This window comes from Homo sapiens, chromosome 11 (genome assembly GCF_000001405.40).
Source record: "Homo sapiens chromosome 11, GRCh38.p14 Primary Assembly".
Taxonomy (NCBI): Eukaryota; Metazoa; Chordata; class Mammalia; order Primates; family Hominidae; genus Homo; species Homo sapiens.
This window is the reverse complement of record NC_000011.10, coordinates 128714666-128733451: the sequence shown is the minus strand read 5'-3', so window position 1 is coordinate 128733451 and position 18786 is coordinate 128714666. Positions and strand designations below refer to the sequence as shown.

The 18786-nt window shown below is 47.4% G+C and overlaps 1 protein-coding gene across 9 annotated transcripts in view, besides 11 other annotated features; it reads right to left on the bottom strand.

Moving 5' to 3' along the window:
* The window catches only part of FLI1 (Fli-1 proto-oncogene, ETS transcription factor), a 128136-nt gene that overhangs the window by 79816 nt on the left and 29534 nt on the right, over positions 1-18786 (bottom strand). The window lies entirely within an intron of this gene.
* Positions 6483-6542: an enhancer, noted in NCBI's record as "active region_5738". NCBI's record gives its function as "activates an Ori minimal core promoter by ATAC-STARR-seq in GM12878 lymphoblastoid cells {active_cell/tissue: GM12878}" and the evidence as "EXISTENCE:reporter gene assay evidence [ECO:0000049][PMID:35858748]".
* Positions 6563-6662: an enhancer, noted in NCBI's record as "active region_5737". NCBI's record gives its function as "activates an Ori minimal core promoter by ATAC-STARR-seq in GM12878 lymphoblastoid cells {active_cell/tissue: GM12878}" and the evidence as "EXISTENCE:reporter gene assay evidence [ECO:0000049][PMID:35858748]".
* Positions 6687-7186: an enhancer, noted in NCBI's record as "H3K4me1 hESC enhancer chr11:128596161-128596660 (GRCh37/hg19 assembly coordinates)". NCBI's record gives its function as "activates a minimal SCP1, AML or CMV promoter by ChIP-STARR-seq in naive H9 embryonic stem cells {active_cell/tissue: H9 hESC(naive)}" and the evidence as "EXISTENCE:reporter gene assay evidence [ECO:0000049][PMID:30033119]".
* Positions 7433-7602: an enhancer, noted in NCBI's record as "active region_5736". NCBI's record gives its function as "activates an Ori minimal core promoter by ATAC-STARR-seq in GM12878 lymphoblastoid cells {active_cell/tissue: GM12878}" and the evidence as "EXISTENCE:reporter gene assay evidence [ECO:0000049][PMID:35858748]".
* Positions 7643-7722: an enhancer, noted in NCBI's record as "active region_5735". NCBI's record gives its function as "activates an Ori minimal core promoter by ATAC-STARR-seq in GM12878 lymphoblastoid cells {active_cell/tissue: GM12878}" and the evidence as "EXISTENCE:reporter gene assay evidence [ECO:0000049][PMID:35858748]".
* Positions 14265-14474: an enhancer, noted in NCBI's record as "active region_5734". NCBI's record gives its function as "activates an Ori minimal core promoter by ATAC-STARR-seq in GM12878 lymphoblastoid cells {active_cell/tissue: GM12878}" and the evidence as "EXISTENCE:reporter gene assay evidence [ECO:0000049][PMID:35858748]".
* Positions 14993-15512: an enhancer, noted in NCBI's record as "NANOG-H3K27ac hESC enhancer chr11:128587835-128588354 (GRCh37/hg19 assembly coordinates)". NCBI's record gives its function as "activates a minimal SCP1, AML or CMV promoter by ChIP-STARR-seq in naive and primed H9 embryonic stem cells {active_cell/tissue: H9 hESC(naive and primed)}" and the evidence as "EXISTENCE:reporter gene assay evidence [ECO:0000049][PMID:30033119]".
* Positions 16181-16280: an enhancer, noted in NCBI's record as "active region_5733". NCBI's record gives its function as "activates an Ori minimal core promoter by ATAC-STARR-seq in GM12878 lymphoblastoid cells {active_cell/tissue: GM12878}" and the evidence as "EXISTENCE:reporter gene assay evidence [ECO:0000049][PMID:35858748]".
* Positions 17221-17380: an enhancer, noted in NCBI's record as "active region_5732". NCBI's record gives its function as "activates an Ori minimal core promoter by ATAC-STARR-seq in GM12878 lymphoblastoid cells {active_cell/tissue: GM12878}" and the evidence as "EXISTENCE:reporter gene assay evidence [ECO:0000049][PMID:35858748]".
* Positions 17221-17845: a biological region, named in NCBI's record as "NANOG hESC enhancer GRCh37_chr11:128585502-128586027".
* Positions 17320-17845: an enhancer, noted in NCBI's record as "NANOG hESC enhancer chr11:128585502-128586027 (GRCh37/hg19 assembly coordinates)". NCBI's record gives its function as "activates a minimal SCP1, AML or CMV promoter by ChIP-STARR-seq in naive H9 embryonic stem cells {active_cell/tissue: H9 hESC(naive)}" and the evidence as "EXISTENCE:reporter gene assay evidence [ECO:0000049][PMID:30033119]".

Genomic DNA, 18786 nt, shown 5'->3' with positions numbered 1-18786 from the left:
ATGGCGGAGTGTGTAGAGCTACTGAGATGCTTCCGGGACACCAGCAGGACACTAATCCTACTAGTTTTTCTCCTAGTGTGGATCCTGGACTTGCTGCCTCAAAATCACTTGAAGTGTTGTTAAAAATGAAGATTCCCGGGACCATTCCAGATCCAGTGAATTAGAATCTCTGGAGCTGGAGCCGAGGAATCAGCATTCTTTACACTCCCCAAGGGAATTTTGTGCAGATGTAAGTTTCAGAGCCACTGAGTTAGGTACTCAGTGAAAAAAAAAAACCTCTTGCAATCAAATTTGATTGGAAAACGCTGCAGACTGCATTGTGCGGCCCTTTCCCTTGGAGCTTCAGGATCTCCATTAGTATATTCAAGGCTCTGATAAGTCCTGATGCAAAGAGACTTGTTTAAGTTCCTTTGAATTTCCCACACTCAGTTGAACACAGAATCCTGTTTTGAGAAAGCAGCTTTGAGCATCCCTTGGACACATTTGAGAAGCAATGAGATGCTTTAGTAAGAGCCACTATTGCAAGTCGCTGAAGGACTCTACTTCTCTAGATCTGATTTTTCCTCTCTTTCTCTGCCACAAACCTCCCAAACAATTGTAAAAGGAAGTGTGCTTCTCTGGGCAAAACAAGGGCATGTCAAGCCCAAGAGATCATTTACTTTTTTCTTTCTTTTTTGGTAACTAGTTGGTTTTTTAGAATCATAACTTGCTTTGGTTATGTGTTGGAAGCAACGAAGCATATTCCTCTCATCTTAATCATTTTTGTGTAAATGTCATGTAAAAAAGTGGGGCTTTCCTTGACTTCTCCAATCCCAGGCTTGTATCTATCCGGCCTTAACGTCTTTCTCAGAGCACTCTAGTTTTTCTTCATAATACCTACCACATGTATAATTAGATATTCACCTATGCAAAAGTGTGATTTGTGTCGCTCTCCCATTGGACTACACTCAATGGAGGCAGGGTCTTCCTCTGTTTTGTTCACCTGTGTCCCCAAGGACTTAGCACAATGCCTGGCAGAGTATGCACTCCAAAACTATTTGTCACATGAAAGACTTTCAAAGTTTTTATTTAGCAGCCCATATAGAACATGAGAGTCAAAATGACATAGACTCACGTTGGTTCTGTCTGCCCATCAGAATTTCCTGAAAAGCTTTTTTAAGATGCACGGTTCTACCTTAGATGTCCTAGATGAGAAGGGGGGAAGATAGCTGGAGAATAATCTGGTACTGATTGGCTGAATGGATGGAGAAAGAAGGGAACCAGTGAATTTTTTTCTGGCCTCTTCTGCTATAGGATTTTAGACAAGGCTCAGCATGCTTTGGTGCCTTAATTTATTTCACTGTTTAGTAAAGCTGGAGTCACATTTACCACTCATCTCTTCTCCAAAATTGCATGACATGTCTAGTTAAGCAATTTTTGTTTCTTTTCTTTTCTTTTCTTTTTTTTTTTGAGATGGAGTCTCGCTCTGTCCACCAGCCTGGAGCACAGTGGCACGATCTCGGCTCACTGCAACCTCCGCCTCCCGGTTCGAAGTGATTCTCCTGCCTCAGCCTCCGAAGTGGCTGGAATTACAGGCGTGTGCCACCACACTAAGCTAATTTTTGTATTTTTATTAGAGACAAGGTTTTGCCATGTTGGCCAGGCTGATCTCGAACTCCTGACCTCAAGTGATTTGCCCGCCTCCGCCTCCCAAAGTGCTGGATTACAGGCCTGAGCCGCTGCGCCCCATCTACTTAAGCATTTTGAAATCTTAAAATAGGAGACGGTTCTGAGGTCAAATCACGATGACCGTTTCTAGCATGATGGCTTTTCAGCACATGGCTATGAACTTTGGGTTTTGCCAAATGATTTTTCATGCAAGTTCACTCAGGAAGGGTTTTTTTGTTTGTTTTTTGTTTTATTTTTGTTTTTTGTTTTGTTTTTGTTTTTTGTTTGTTTTTTCTGACACGGCCCCTTTAACAGAAAAAAAAAAGGGCTGCTCAATTTGTTAACCACCCTTTCATACTTGACCTCTTGTTTTGTGGTGCAAAAGTTACACGAGCAGACCGTTAGACAAGCACACTGGCTCGCTGGTGTGTTTTGCACCATCTATCTGCAGCCAGGCAACCTGTGCTCAGAGAAGATGAGAGCAAACTCACCAACCCCCCCACATTTAGGTCCTAAGGGCTCCCTGCCCCTGAGCAGTGCTGGGGTTAGTCCAGCCCAGGTCATAAGCAGCACAGGAAGCAGAGGGCATGGCTAATGTACATGTCACCGTGTGGCTTATGGTCACAGCCTCACCCTACCTTCAAACCTGTGCAAGCTGCAAGAGCAACAGGAAACGGCCAAGCGTCTATATATAGCCACATTGAACTTATCCAAAGGTGCTGTTTTGCACAGATTATTATGAACTTCTTTCACGGGGAGAGGACATGATGGCATGTGCCTTTTCCTCAGGACCTCTCGAAGCACTTGTAAAATTAACTACTCCACCTGAGAAGGAAGAAGGATGTTACACCTTTTGGTTTCTTCATTTTCAAGGCAAACAGACTGGTGCCTTTTCTTTTGCAAAAGATTTCCGGACACATTCAGCAAAGGCTAAGAAAGGATGGGAAACGGCAATGGAAGCATGCAGGATTTCTGTGAGCCTCTAAATACAGCCCATTGGGAAAACCATTCATTCCATAGATTGAGTTTCCCTTGAAAATCATTAATTAGTCTTTGCTTCTCCCTAATACATTTCCCTGGCAAATAAATAAATACACCCCTTCGTGGTGTATCCATCACGCAGCCCTTGGTGTAGCTCTCCCAAGATCCCAAGAGGCAGAGACAAAAGGAGTGGGTGTCAGGGCTTGAAGGGCCCAGCACCACAGACCACCTTTGTTCTCAAAGGGAAGCCTTCAAAAAGAAATGAAAACATGTGTCTGTTCCAGAGCCCTTCTTTACTGCTTTGGAAGTGACTTTCTGGGACTGCCAGTGTATTTATCAGCATTCTAGAATAGAATGCATGTTCTTGATACTGAGCCTGACTTTAGTAGCACCGATTTGCTCCTTACCCAGCTCTTCTCCCTATTGAGTAAGCACAGAAATGAATAGGATGAGCAGCGCAGCTACTGAGAGGCTGACCCACAAAGGTGAGCGTAAACGTGTGGCCTACACCCGCAGTCTGGGTGACCTCAGCCAATTAGGAAACCTCTTTGAGATTCCAGTTTTCATCTGTAAAATAGGGTTGTGAGGATGGAATGAGAGGATATAAGTAAAGTTTTTAACACAGTACACACTTAACAAATGCACAATACAAGGTAGGCATAGTCAAGGTGGTGATAATATACAAATCAGAGTGGGACTTGAGAACAGAAAGAATCCAGATTTCAAGATTTTCGACTTTTCTGTTTCCTGAAACTTCCCTTGCTAACTCAGTTGGCTAGCTCTGGCAACATGAATGAACTTTGTGTTCTGATATTAGAAATGTTTCAAGGTCAAATGCCAGATCAACATAGTTTCCTCAGAGCACTCCCTAACACAGGGCCACTTAATCAACATGGTGCCTAAAAGGTGCAGTTCTTCTGTTCTGAAAAGGCATTAAAGTTATAGAATTGCATTTTGAAAAAATAAGCATCTCTTTAGCAAAAATCATTCTGGAGAACAAGGTCAAAATGCTTCCCATCTCCACAGTCCCACCAGCCAGTACCTGGGACATGCTCTTCCAGCCTGGTTCTCAAGAACCGGGCTCTTGGAATGGGGAAGGAGAGGTGAATGATCTGGTTGCCATCCTTTTAAAAAGGGGTGACAGGTATGTGCATTGATTTAGTGTACATGACGACTGGTAAAAGGACACCAAAGGGAGCAAAAGGGGACCTCAGTTGTCCTGAGTCCTGAGTTCATTCTGGAGCCTGCTTGGTGCACTCGTGTTTCCCCCGGGCAGTGCCATATGCCTCACATACCTCCACTCTGATCCTTTTCTTTTCCCACCTCTTTAAATGCAAAGCATCGCCAACCATTGTTCAGTCTCATCACTGAAAGCTGAACACACAGTGGCAGAGGCCAAAGCCTGTGGCTGTGTGTGCCTGAGATTAAGACTTTTATCTGATCTTTGACAACTTGCAGAGGAAATCCTGTTCCAAAACTCACAGCCCTGAGAGAAGGGTTGCCAGCAGTTCTTCCCTCCCACCTGTGAGATAAATCAGGGCACTTGAAATGCGAACATGGTTGATAAATATAATAAGCTTGCCTCCTCTCGCTCCATTAATCTCTCCCCCTACCTTTTTTCTTTGAACCATGGAGCACAACAAAGTCTCTTGGCAGAGCCGGGCTGGGAGTCCTTTGTGTTGCCCTCGTACACATCCGATTACAAAGCAGAGGTGCCTAGCAGAAGAATCCCTGCAGCTGAAACTCAAATGACCGTCCTGTCTTTAGGATTCACGCAGGAGCTCAGCCAGCTCTTTCTAAACCGAGGCAGACACGGGTAGCTGTGTCATATCTGTGTAGACCCAAAGTGGTTCTCAACTCCTTGAGTCAAAGAACATCAGGCAGAAGGGTGTGTCTCTGGCGGTTGGAGTAGAGGTTGCAAAAAGTTGTAGGTTCCTCTCATTTCCTTCACCCCACCCTTGGCTAGGGGACTAATTGAATGTGGTTAGTTCTAGATGGTTCATCATATCCCTGGACTTGATGTAGCCAAGGCAGGTTTACCTGATACTCAGGTACAGCTGGGATGCCCACCAGGGCAAATGGGGAGTGCAAATGAGAATTTCTGTGCCTGAAGGGAAGAATCCCAATACAGAACGCACTGGAACGTTTGCCTTGACTCTGCTCCTTGTTTGGCTTCCCTTACTGCAAAACAGGAGTGGCTCTGGTCACAAGGACACTCAGGGCATACTGGGTGCCCAAGGGGAATGGACAAGAGAAGGCATAGAACCTGCCTCAGGGAGATTTTACTCACAGGGGCCACTGCAGTTATGGAAGAAATGTTGTTCAAAAAGTGTCCAAGCGTCAACACGCAGGAGCACCACCAGCAGCAGGCCAGAGAGGGCGGTCCAGCTCCAGAGGTGACACAGCTAAGAGGTGCGGCCTCTGCCGCAGCACCCTCATTGCGCAGCAAAGGGACACACAGGTGATTACTAAGCTCTTTTTGGCTCTGGCGTCCCATGGTTCTGTGACAGCCTCTGCCAGATAGTTCATTAAGGATGAGGCCAGACCCTCCCTGCTGCCTCCCAAAGGGAATCCGGAAGTGCACTGCCTAGGCCAAGGCATGCCCATGTCCTGGCCGCTCCACCTGCGTGGTGAGCTGGGTGGAGACAGCGTTAGCCCCCGGCCTGCTGCACTATCAGACTCCATGGCATTTGGGGCTGCACCCTGTGATTCCTCTTAAAGCGGAGCTACTCTGCTGAAGGCCCAAGGGAGAGGGCCACGTTTTGTGTTTTGTTTTGTTTCAGCTTGTGAGGAAAATGAACTTGCTAGTCAGTATGGAACTGGCCTGAGGGGAAGTGGGTCAGGGAGGGAAGCTTTACTTCTGGCCGGTGTGGGACAGAGAAGAGAGCAGGAATGCCTGCTCTTCTCCCCGCTTTAACTCCTTACCTCTCCACTTAGACAAAGCTAGGTCAGACATAGAGGACAGGTGCCTCTTTTGCTCTGAGATGGGCTGTGGTTGTGGGACAGGGTGGCTGGATGCAGTGGTGTGCTGGAACTGGCTCATGAGGTTCCTGAGAGCCAGTTGCACGCATCTCTTCTCAACTGCATGCCCAGTGGGAGCTTGAAGCTGGGCATCATGAAATAAGTGCAAATTACACAAACCTGGAGAGCCAGTTGTTAAGTGTTTATGAACACATGTGGCTGAATGCACCTCCTTCTCAATCAGATGGGACTTAAATCTATGTACCAAGGTCTTGGGCTGCAGCAAGTCAGCCTTTGAAGCTGATACATCAGCCCTTTCCGCAACCACTACTCTAGACCTGGCCCTTGGGCTCTGTCCAGGTCCTGGCTGCCTGCATCTCACGGAAAGGTTGAAACAGGGCCTGACTTGCTGAGATCAGCATCTAGACCACCCAACTCCTTACACTCTTCCTCTTGAGGACTTAAAGTGGCTTGCTATCGCTGGTTTTCTAATCCATAAGCTATAAAGTATATACATAATACTAGCCATTATTGATTTAGGAGCTACTGTTTGCCAGGTATGGAACTAAGGACTTTGCGTAAGTTATCTCGTTTCATTCTCACCATAGCCTTATGAAATAATTTCCTCATTTTATAGTTCAGGAAGGTGAGGCTTGGGAGGTTACCCAGCTTATAAGTGGCAGAGCTAAGATCTCAACTCAGATCTGATTCTGAAGTGTGCTCCTTCCAAAATCTACATTCTTTCAACTACGGACATGCCTATTACTAATACAGAAGAGGATTCTCCCTCTTTGAAAATATATCCAAATATTAACGCCAGGCAGGACCTTCAAGAGTGGCACAGCTCCCAGGGCCACCATGCAATCAGTATTGCCCTTCCCAAAGACACAGCACCCTCCCCTGCAGAACACACTTCCTCTTCCCCCCTCTGCCCCAGCCGTTGTCCCTCCCCTCCTTCAGAACTTAACTTCCTCCTTGAAGCGTTCTGTCATTAACCCCATTCCGTTTTGATCACTTCACTAACTTTGCTTCTCCTCAAATACTTATAATATTCACATAGATTTCTGCTGCCCTGTTTTTACAACCGTGTCCTCTGGCTGTCCTTCATTAAGCTGCACCTATGGGCAAAGCACCCCAAGACACTTGTTCCACTGTGGTCTCTGGGGCTTGGCCTCCTCTGTCTCTGTCTGTGGGCCTATGGATGGCCTGCCTTTCCTATACAAAAGAGGGCACCGCCCAACTATCTAGCCAAGTGACTCAAGTATCCACTTTGTTCTGGCCAGAGGCCATTGGTATGGAGCTTAGGCGGGGGTGGGGGTAGGGGGGTGGGAGGGTGGCAGGAGAAATAGCCAGGCTGGTTAGTGTCCCTCCAGGAACTCTCCTTCTCCAGTCTTCATCTTTGATGACACCTGAGGATTTCCTCTGTCCAGCCTTGGGGCCAGGCAGGACCCTCATTCTCTCCAAGTGGATCTTCCCTTGGGCTTCCCGGTTGCACCCCCAGCCCCCTGCACCCCTGGATTGAGTTGTAGGTTGAAACTAGCCATAGAGTAGGAGTCTGGGGCTGGGTTGGGGCAGCGTCTTAATGTGTAATCGGGAGTGTTCTGAAAGGTGAGCCTACACAGGGGAGCATGGGTGGGTGTCAGCTTCAGGGGAGGGCAGGGGGGCTGAGCCAGCGGTTGGGGGAGATTTATGTCTGCCAGTCATGCTTCAGAAGCTTCTGAGTGGATGGAGAGGGGAGACCGGACCTCGGGGGTTCTGGAAGAAGACTCAGTAATGTGATAGTAGCAGCTGGTCTGATTTGCATCTGGGAAGCTGAATTTTTCAGAGGGCTCAGCTGAAGCACGGAGCCATTCCAGAGAGGCCTCCCCTGGCCAGCCAGGATCTGGACTCCTCAGTCCCCTCCGGCTTCTCTTCTGCCTTGTCCTTGTCCCCTACTGTCCCCATGCCCAGGACACATTTGAATTCCTCCTCACTGTCAAGAGCCAGCTGTGATCTCACACTGCCTGCTTCTGCCCTGAACGTTGACAGGCTTTTTCTCCTGCACGGACTGCCACTTTTAGACTGGCACACAGTTTTCACAAGACGGGGTTTTGTGGTTTGGGTTTTTTTTTCCCTTCATAAGTTTGCAGCTGCTAGTTTTGAAACCACCAGCCCTGAGGCAACTCAGACACACACACACACACACAAACACACACACACAGAGAGAGAGAGAGAGGGAGAGAGAATGAAAGAAAGGATGATGAGATGTCTTTTTAGAAATCATTTATTACATTCCAAAGGTCCTTCCTTCATCTTGCAGTCAGGCTTCAGTTGGTGAAAGGTTCCTAGACACATTTAAGGGTTTGTGGGCATTTGCGGGCACTTGAGCATTGGGGTAGTTCTCATGAGGTGTGCCTCCCATGCTGGGTCCCTGGCTGCCTGAGGCTGACAGGTGAGTGGTGAGGGGCCAAGACTTTTGGTTATGATCTGAAGTGGACCGGCCGGCCGCCTTATGTCCTGCTTGAATGTGTGTGCATGTGGATGCACTGACATGTGCAGGTTGGAGGCAGGAGAAAGGGGAGGAAGCGGGAGATACAGGAAGACCTTGATTGAGTTTCTGAGAATTATGCAAGAATCACCTTCAGGCTCACCTAACAGGTCCCTTTGCCTATGCAGCCATATATCTTTAGCTGAACACAGACTTGAGGCTAGAAGAGCCCAAAATAAACTGAAATCAGAACAAACTACTCATCTTCAGCTCTCCCCTCACCCTCACACATCCACTGGTACTTGTGGTGGTCAATTATAGTTTTTATCGAAACTACGAGAACACCTAGAGTCTCAGCCTAGCATCCTCCCCCTGGACAGAGCATGGGGGACTATCAAGAGGCCACGCTGTCAGCCCCATTCTGGGTGGCTTTTATGCCGTCTCTTTGCTGGCATTCTTACTGAACCCCATCATTCTCTGCAGGCTTAATCAAACACTTTGGCCAGTGGGAGGAGAGAGAATCGTAGTGATATTACCAAGGAAGGGAAATGAGGAATGACTGGGCCTCCTAAATAAGGCCTGCTTTGACCTGAGAGTGAAGAAACAAATCTGGGACACTGGGAATCTCTACCTCCATAAACCCTTGTGCCTCTCCTAGAACCATGCACCCATTTAGATCCCGTATCAAGACGATGTGTGCTCTTGTTTCTCCTCACCCTTTCTCACCACTCATTCCTTACCAAACTTATTTAGGGTCCCATGAGGCTCAGGCAGTGTAGGCAGGAGGGCTTGGGATAGATTTTTCTTTGTATCATCCATACTCGATTCAGTGAGTGTTCTGCATGTGGTAGACACTCTATAAGTGCTTATTTAACTCAATTGAACAAAATGTGAGTTGTCACATCCTCTTCTGGAAACCTGCACTGATTTTCCCATCATTGACAACAGAAAACCCAAATTCCCTATAGCCTGGCACAATAGGCTTTCTGGGGTCAGGCCTCACCTGTGTCCTGCCTCCTCACCTGCTGCCCCATATCCGTGGCACTCTCACTGGCCTGGCACCATCCCATGTTCACACCCTTTCCGTGCTGGTCCCTCTCCCTGGAATACCCTGTCTGGTAAATTCTGAGTCATGTTCAAAATCAACTCCAGGCCAGGCACGGTGGCTCATGCCTGTAATCCCAGCACTTTGGGAGGCCAAGGCGGGTGGATCACCTGAGGTAAAGAGTTCGAGACCAGCCTGCCCAACATGGTGAAACCCCATCTCTACTAAAAATACAAACAACTTAGCCTGGAGTGGTGGTGGGCACCTGTAATCCCAGCTACTCAGGAGGCTGAGGCAGGAGAATTGCTTGAACCTGGGAGGCAGAGGTTACAGTGAGCCCAGATGGCGCCACTATACTCCAGCCTGAGCGACAAGAGTGAAACTCCGTCTCAAAAAAAAAAAAAAAAAAAAAAAAAATCAACTCCATTGTTCCTCCTCCTCTATAAATCTGTTCCTGACTCTGTTGGGTCTTTCCAGTAGAGCTGGTTGCTCCTGTGGTTGGGTTTTTGTGATGTTTTGCACCTAGCACCATGAAAGCACTTGTTTTTAGTGTGAGTGTTCATTTACACCTCTTTCCTTCAGAGGATCTTAAATTCATCAAAGACAGGGACCATGTCTTATGCATAATTGCATTCTCAATTTGGCACACTGCCCAGGATAGTAGGTATTCAATAAAGGATGATTACATTAATGAAAGAACAAATGGGTTGCATTGATCTACTTTTGGAATCTCAAGCAGGGTTTTTCTATACCTATCCTCCTTCTTCCCCTTTCTTTCCCATATGTCACTGCTTCATGGGGCTCAGCACATATATGGCAGCAGGAATGCACCTCTTTTATTTCTTTTTCTGGAATGTCTCCATCCTTGTGCACAAATTTCCTAAGATTACCCATAGTGTTCCTGCTCACCATGCTTCTTGGGTTTCTGATGTTTGCAAAGACATTGACTCATCACCTGGAGACGTAGACACCCATGGAGATGGGCCTTCCTGCACCACAATGTACCTCCTCCATGAAGCCCTCCTACATGAGTCCAAGCCCACAGGGAGCTTCCATCCCGCCTACACTGCCTGAGCCCCCACTTGCTCCTCTCTTCTCTTTAATTGTGCCATGGTGCCAGCTGTCATGTTGTTATGGAGTGAGTGTTTGTGTCCCTCCCCAGACTCATACATTAAATCCTAACGGACAATGTGATGGTATAGGAGGTGGGATCTTCAGGGGGTGATTTGATCGTGGAGGTGGAGCCTTCAGAGCGGGATTAGTACCCTAATAAAGAGGACCCAAGAGAGCTAGCTTGCCCTCTTTCTACCACGCAGATACACAGTGAGGAAGACAGCCCTCACTAGAACCCGATCATGCTGGCACTCTGATCTCAGACTCCTGGCCTCCAGAACTGTGAGAGATAAGCATTCACTGTTGATGAGCCACCCAGTTATGGGACTCCATTACAGCAGCCTGAACAGCTAGAACAGGGATATTTTTCCTCCCGATTGTTTGGATTCTCCCCCACCCCGCGGTTCCCAGAGCTCGATAGGAGAATGACTGCACGAGGTGTTTCCGCACGGCTTTTCTGCACACTGGCCTCCATCCCTCATTCCCCAGGCTCTGTGCTTTCCCAAAGGGACTTTACCTCATCTGAGTAGCTCCTGATCTAGCAATATTAATCCACCACATCTCAAGGACTGTCATTTTTGTTATAGAATACATCTTTGATAATTTATACATTTTTGGAAGATAGTTGCACTTTCCTGTGGAGGTCACGCAAATCTCTTGGTTCAAATACAGGTTAAAAATGGTAAGATTCTCCCCAGCAGACAAAGCTGCATTGCCTGAAGTCTGAGCAAGCAAATCCTGCAGTGTTTGCTGGCACTCTGGGCAGTGGGCACAGCAGGAATGGCATTGTGAGGGCCACCTCTGGCTAAGCAGCCAAGGTGTCCATAATCACCAAACTGGCATCTCCAGGCTGCTCTGCTCCTTGCCTGAACATCCTCCTCCTGCCCTTCTCCCTTCTCCGAGAAGCATCCCTTGACCTTGTCAGCTTTTCCTCTGCTTTCTCCCCTTCCTCTCCTCCATACCCTGTCAAAATGTTTCAGGTTTTCCATATTCCCAGGACCTTGCTAGGCTCAGCCATATAGTAAATGTCATATAGTCGTGTGTCAAATGTCATATGGTTAAGTCACGTCAGGGGGTAACTTTTACATTTTTACATGAACCTCCTGGACGTTCAAAGGAGTGAACCCATGGCAAGGATTTCAGGCAGACAGAAACGTGATGGAGGTTTCTGCGGGGTGGGTCTTTTGGAGCATCCTACCATACTACCTGGGCTGCCTCCCTCTAAGACCAGCTGCAGACAGACAGGAGAAGCATTCCCACTACTCAAGATGACCAGGGAGCCTCTGACTCTAGCCACTTAGTGGGGCCTTCTTAGGCAGGAAGAGGAGGGAAGCAGATCCCTCAAATTAATACCTGGCCTGAGTCACTGGGCTTGGGATTCAGAGTTTGGAAAGTCACCCAAATGCCTTCATTCCCAAACCTGACCTTCTAGAGAGCCTGGAGCGGGCAAGCTTCAGATTCATTTGTGTCAACATGTTGTTTGGTTAATGTAGCTGAGCATCTAGGCCCATTTTCTTAGAAACAGGAAATCCCAGAGTGCCAAGAGTAAACATCCCAGCCCCCAAAGGTTTGGGTTCATGTAGGAACTCCCTGACCACAAGGGTCTGTGGGTCTGTGTGCTTGAGCCAGGCATGCTCTTGCACCCATAATTGATCTTGTATAAAGAGATGGTCTCTCTACAGCTCAGCAGCTGGACTGTGAGACTGAACCATGCTTGAGGCTGGTTGGGAATAGGCTAAGGACAGGGTCACAATTTCAAACATAAAGCAAAAATGTATTAGGGCCTTTTATAACTTGACAGGCATCTCCCCTGCAATCCCCACCACAGACTCTTCAATTCTAGTTTCTTCTCTTTTTATTCTTTGTTTCTTCTGTGACAGCAGGGACCTCGTCTGTCTTCGCCTCCATTCTTCCATCCCTATATTCTACACCGTGCTGAGAATAGGAGGTGCCAAGTACAGGCTGGCGGAATGAATGAATGATTGAGTGGATGGCACCATGTGAATCAAGGCAGCAGAAGAAGGCATCCCTGAAGGGCTTGACCATTCCAGCTGTCTGTGGTGCATCCTACAGGGGTGAGCTCCACATAGTTACTAGTCTTAAGGGGCTCACAGAGAATTAATTCTCTCTCACGAACTTGCCAGCCCCTAGTTGGCAAGGACAGATTCTCCAGAAGCTTCTCTGGATTAGTTGAGAGAGCTCAGGTTAGCTGGGGCTGGAGGAGAAAACACTGGCTGTGCAGAACTTGACTGGGTGGAGGGGGAAGGGCCGGGGGTGGCCAGAGGCGGCTTCTGTTGCACAGAGGTCCGGCTTGCTCGCCAGACAAAGAGCCCTCAGAAAGCACCTTCCCCACCTCCGCCACACACAGAGAAGGCGCAGAGGGCCTGGCCTCTTTCTTACAAGGAGCCCGGCTGACCCTGTTGCTGTGAGGGGCAGAAAGAGAGGCAGGCAGCTGCTTGGAGACGCGGGAGTCACTGAGCAGGGCCCGCGGAGTCTGACAACGGAAGAAAAGAGGCAACCCTTCTATTATTAGTGGCTGCTTTCCACGTATGTGTAAATCAGACAGCCTATGCAAAAAGAGGCCTCCTGGTAGCAGGAAATTCAGAGTTGTGGGTGTCTTTGTGCTATCAGATCGGGCCCTGGGCTTGCCTGCAATCCGGTCTTGGACGGGCTTCCATCTGGGCTGCATTAAGAGGCACAAGGAGGTGAGCGAAGGCCCGGCTTGGCCTCCCCACCCCCCAGTGTTTCTGGTTTTATGACTCTAGGGGGACTTTGTGACTTTTTAAACATCGTCTTTTCAGCATTTCACGTGGGCTCCTTTTTAGAGCCTATACTGAAGATTTTATGAAAATACAAAAGAGATAAGGCTGCGTCTGTTACAAAATGCCATCCCAGGTCCAGAAGCTGGGCATAACTAAAATAATATATACTATTCCAGAGCCCAGGACTTGACTTCCGTGTTTAGTGGTTTGCTGTACTTCCATCAGAAGTAGTGATATAGTGTAATATTTAATGATACAGGAACATGGCCGTAATTTAATATAAAGAGAATAAAAGGAGGTTACAAAGCAATATGATTCTGGCTAGATAAAATAATACATATATGTCTATATATTTGCATTATAAAGACCGGAAGGAAGGGCACCAAAATATGAATCGGCTGCTTTCTGTATTGTGAGACTATGCGTGCTTTTACATTCTTATTTTGAAATTTTCTATACGTTTTAAATTTTATACAAGGATGAAGTGACACTTCTGCAATCATTATTTTAAAGAACTTAAACGATGCACGTAATGAGTTTTAAAAAAAAGTAAGCCAAGAAACAGAGAAGAAGTAGTAGCACCTGCAGGATGGGCTTACTAACTTAGTCCTGTTTCTCAGCAGCCTTGGGTGGGTTTTCCATGTCCCTTGTCTCCCATGGCCCTGACTCCCTCTCCTCCCTTTTTCCTTGCCCTGCATAGCTCTTGTCCATTTCAGCCGGTGACTCCATGCTGCTGGAGCACCTTGCTTTCTCACAGCACTGACCTGCCCAGCGCCTTGCCCTTGCTTGTCCCAGGAAAGCAAATGAGGCCCCAGAAACATGAGTAGACGGGATGAATGTAATTCAGCTCCCAAAATTTGCAGTAAGTCTCCGTTGCCCTTCAAGTCCACCAGAGATCGTGCCAGTCCTTAGAGCTTAGACTGAATGCAGAGCCCTCGCTGTCTTTGTATAATGCACTCTTTGACAGCTAATTAGGTGGATTTCAGCAACTTCACAATGTCACATCTATCAGAGGCAGGCAGCCTGAGACTCCCAGGGGAACTTATTCAAGCTATAAGTAAATAAATATTACAGATTTTACACACACACACACACACACACACACACACACACACACACGGGAAAAGGGGAGAAAGAGTACACACACACGCAGACCATTTTGTCCTCACAACATTACGAACTGTTTTTTTTTTTTTTAATCTAACTGATGAGGAAACTGAGACTCTGACAGGTCCAGTCACATGGCCGGAAATGGCAGAGCTAGAATTTGAACAGGGTCCTGCCTGTCTCCAAAGCCTGGACTCTCCACCAAAATGCCTTCCCCTCTCCCATACTGCAATCCAGGCAGGCCACTGTGGGTGTAGTGAGTCCCAAAGCTCCGTAATTACAGGGTTCAACTCTGCCTCCAGAATAACCATGACAAAATTTGTGGAAATGTTCACAACAGCTCTTTACTTCCAGGTTCTGAGATCAGAAACGGAAGTTTCAAAATACCGAAAGTTCGTTTATGTTGAACATAGTGCTTAGGCTAAAAGCAGGAAGTCCAAGAAAGCCTGATCTCATGAGATTTTTTCAGCCCAATTTGGATCCACATCTGCACTTCTGGATTTTCCACTGAGTCTAACCTCAGCTGCTCTGCTGGTCTCACCGAGTCTGCACCTCCAGCATGGGGCACAGATAAATAACACAGTCGACTGCTATTCACTAAGATTTACCCAGGGATTGGCCTCTTGAAAAGTAGTGAGCTTGGACAGGCAGTAGAAAGGAACAATTGAAATTTGAAAAATAGGCATTTCTTTTCATAAAGCTAAAAAAACCCAAACCAAAACAAACAAAACTCTAAACAATAACTCATCCAAATAATGGTCTTGCTGTTGTCTCCAGGTGCAGGAAACAAGTGAAAAAGAATCTTACCACCTACTCCTTCCCGCCCCAGTCCTGGTTTCTCCATTGGTCAGTATCCGGCCAGCAGAGGGGAGGAGAAGGCAGTGGCACTTAGTGGTGTGCCTTGGGCTGCCAGCTCTGGGGGAGCCTCTGAATGTTGGGGAGACTCATTCCCGTATCCCCACTCCCATAGCTTGAGGCACTTTGGAAAGCAAGTTTCTCATGTTGCAGATGAGGAAACTAAGGTTAGGAGAAGTGGAAGGATTTGCTCAGACCACACACATCTAGTGACGGCAGGAGCTGGGATTAGAACCCAAATCCACAAAGATGTGGCCTCTTTTTTGAATCATAATAGCTGCCCTGCCTACCTCTCAGCATTTGAATGGATTAACGGACATGATAGGGTTTGCAAATGACAAACATAAAGTAAGTGTTAGTTGCTGTATCTTGACATATTCCAGGTAGTGGCTCAGTTAGTCTTGCTGGTGCTGTATTTAATTTGGGTCCCATTCCAAGTGTAGAGTTTTCTGGGGATGCCATTATCTATGAGGCTTCTCTGCCAGGAGGGCTCAGAGGCCCCCAAGGGAACACTCCCTATACACACAACATCCCCAGCAACACCTTAGAGATCCTTTTGGGAACATCTGGAGGACTTCTGGATCACAAAGATCTACAGTGCACTGTGGTGTGAGCTCCTCTATTCAGGGACTAGAACTCATTCTTTTGAAGCACAATTTCAAATCAGCCACACCCAACTGCAACAGTCCAGGAGAGGTAGTAGACCACATCTTAGAGCCACCCCTTTTCAACTTCAGGCACCCAGGCATGCAGGGGTTACTGACTTGCTTTGTAAACCTGTTCAAACTAGGTGCAAAGTGGATGTAGCATGACACATTTAGCAGATGTATGGCCTGGAGTGAATGATTTAACTTCTCTGAGCCTCAGTTTCCTCATCAGAATGTGGTAATTGCAATATATACTCCTGGGTTGGCAAGGGAAGTAAAGGGGATGTTTATAAACCGCCTGGCATGCACACAAACAAAGGCACTTCCTGCCTGCCCTGCAGTCCCAAACTGCCCTTTGGGGTAGACCCTCAGCACCTACATGCCTTAGAAACAGCATCCCTGGGCTCCAGAAGGACCTCCAGAATCTGGAAGAGCAAGTCCTTAAATCTTGCCATATACTATTTCGTTTTCAAGGAATTTCTTACAGGTAGCAAGTATGAAATAAATGTCACACGATAGCAAAACCATCATGCGTGTGCTTTTCTATTAGTGAGGTCCTCCTGGGAATCTCCTCTCTCCTTACACAGGTCCAGTGAGGCCTCCTTAGCCCCATCACAGGTGTGCATTCTTGGCTGGGTGCTCTGGGTTGTGATGCACTTGGAGCAGGGGTGAGGAGGGTAATCTCCCCATCGCTTGAAGCTGAAGTGGGAGGAAGCAAGGCCTTTCATGTGGCAGGGTCAGGCATTCTCCCCAGAGCAGCGTGTGCCCCGGAAGCCAAGCCGGTAGGACCAAGCAGAAGCCGCCACTGCTTCCTCCCTACCTTGGAAAATTACACAGCATGCCACTTTGCCTGCTGGCTGCCAGGCAGATGCCCTGCTGCTTTCTGAAGCTGTCCTACCTCCTTAGGATGAAAACAGCAATGTGCCCATGCCCACAGTGACGAGCATGCCCTGCCTTCTTCCTCCTCCCTGCACTGGAAAAAGTACAGGGTCTGTAAACAAGTCATTAGATTCAAGATCCTGCCCAATTTAGACTCTTTGTCTCAGTTTTCTCCAGAGTAAACTGGCGGTCACACCCACTCAAACCAAGCAAAGCCCAGAAGGAATGCAGAGCCCTGTGGCCAGGCTCACCGCAGCTGACCCTGAGATGCCCAGAGCTCCAGCCCTCCTGGACTGGGAGAGGAGAGTGGGAAGCCCAGAGCACTCCATTCCATCAGGAGCAGAGCAGCGGCTCTGATGGGCACACGGCTAAGATCCCAGTGTCTAGGTTCAAGTCCCCAAAGCAGCTTTTACTTTTGGAACTAGCTCTCCAAACTATCAAAAATCAAAAATCCACCTCCTTTGAAGTCTGGCAAGAAAACCCCCACGATCAGCTTCTCTTTATTCCTGTACTTCCCGTACAGGCAGGCTTCTAGAAAACAGAGGTTGGAGAAAATGAAAGTCAATGCCAAATACTAACCAGACAGAAGAATAACTGCTTTTCCCCACAGCACCCCCACCCCCAGCTCTGGCATTATGGGCTGGGGAACTGGGCCCCTCTCCTGCTGCTGAGGATCTGTTTATTTTGCACTCCATAAAGGGAAACCAGGCCCTTTTCTGACATTTTGGCTTGGAGGGGGTGGGGAGAGAAGGAGGTCCAGAATTTAAACTCAAAACCAGATCAACTTCTCTAAATCTCCTGGTGCTTTTGCTATGATTCCTAAATGGGCTGCATTGTATGAATCAGGCTTTTTACTCCCCCAGCCAATGTGCCTCCATTTCTAACAGTCTGGCTCCTAACCCTACCAATGCCATAAACTGCCATGACCCCTTATTGACTTCTAACCATGCAAATGCTTCCCCAGATGAAATTAAGGACAGGCATACTCACAGGCAGCTTGGCAGCTCTCCCTGCCTCTCCTGCAGGGAAATCTGTGCCTACATCACAAACCTTGCTCTCCTTAGTGGATGGTGGCTTCCTTTAAACAATACAACAGGGAATTTCCTTTGTCCTGGAAATGTTCCACTTGTCATTAATGTTATCCTTATCAGCAGACCACAATGCAACCAGGAGAGGCCCCAGCATGCTCAGGACTCGTGGGGTATCATTGCAAAATGTTTTCTTCATTTTTTTTCCTCTGCCTTGAATTCAAAGCATGACCTTTACGGGTGGAATTCAATCAGGTCATCTCTCAGATTCCCCAGTGGGAAAATAAAAGTGGCACAAGCAAAGCCTATTGTTTCCATTGCAAGAAGGTAGAAATGCTGTTTTCTCTCTAGATCATCCAACTAAATGAGGTGGGATGGGGGATACGGAGATAATAAAATGACCCTTACAAATTGAGATCTTATTAATAAAATATAGCCTCGGTCCTGGTAGTCCCATGGAAGTTGCACAGCAGGGGCTCTGCAAATGTCATTGACTCCTCAACTTTTTCAGTCCTTCACCATGGCTTTCACTATTTTTAATGCAATTCATTTCTATTTGGACAAGTTTGAGAATAAATTTTTGTTTTCTTTAAACAACAGGCAAGCAATACGTTAGGAAAAGGGGTGGAGGCATGTGGGAACACCAGAAGGCCAGAGGAATTGCAAAAATAAACTTCTGCTAATGGTAACACTCTTGTCTTCCAGGGCAGGAATAATTAATTGTATATGTTTAATCACTTAGCAACCCTGAGCTCTTATTCTGAAAATCTCAAAATATTTCACATATGCAGTGAGTAAAGTCTTTGGTATCAGACAGAACCTGCTAGCTGCACAACTTTTGGCAAGTCACTTGAGTTTCGTATGTCTTGGTTCTTCTCACTGGGTGCGTGCGAGTCATGATAGATGGATTCCTTGGGGCTGTGGTGGAAGTCAAGTGCTAAAATGCCTTCAAGGGCCGGGTGCGGTAGCTCACCCCTGTCATCCCAGCACTTTGGGAGGCTGAGGCTGGCGGATGACGAGGTCAAGAGATTGAGACCATTCCGGCCAACATGGTGAAACCCCGTCTCTACTAAAAATACAAAAATTAGCTGGGCGTGGTGGTGCGTGCCTGTAGTCCAAGCTACACGGAAGGCTGAGGCAGGAGAATTGCTTGAACCTGGGAGGCGGAGGTTGCTGTGAGCTGAGATTACACCACTGCACTCCAGCCTGGTGACAGAGCAAGACTCTGTCAAAAAAAAAAAAAAAAAAAGGTCCTTCAAGTGTTTAGCACAGTGCTGGGCTCATCAGTAACTAC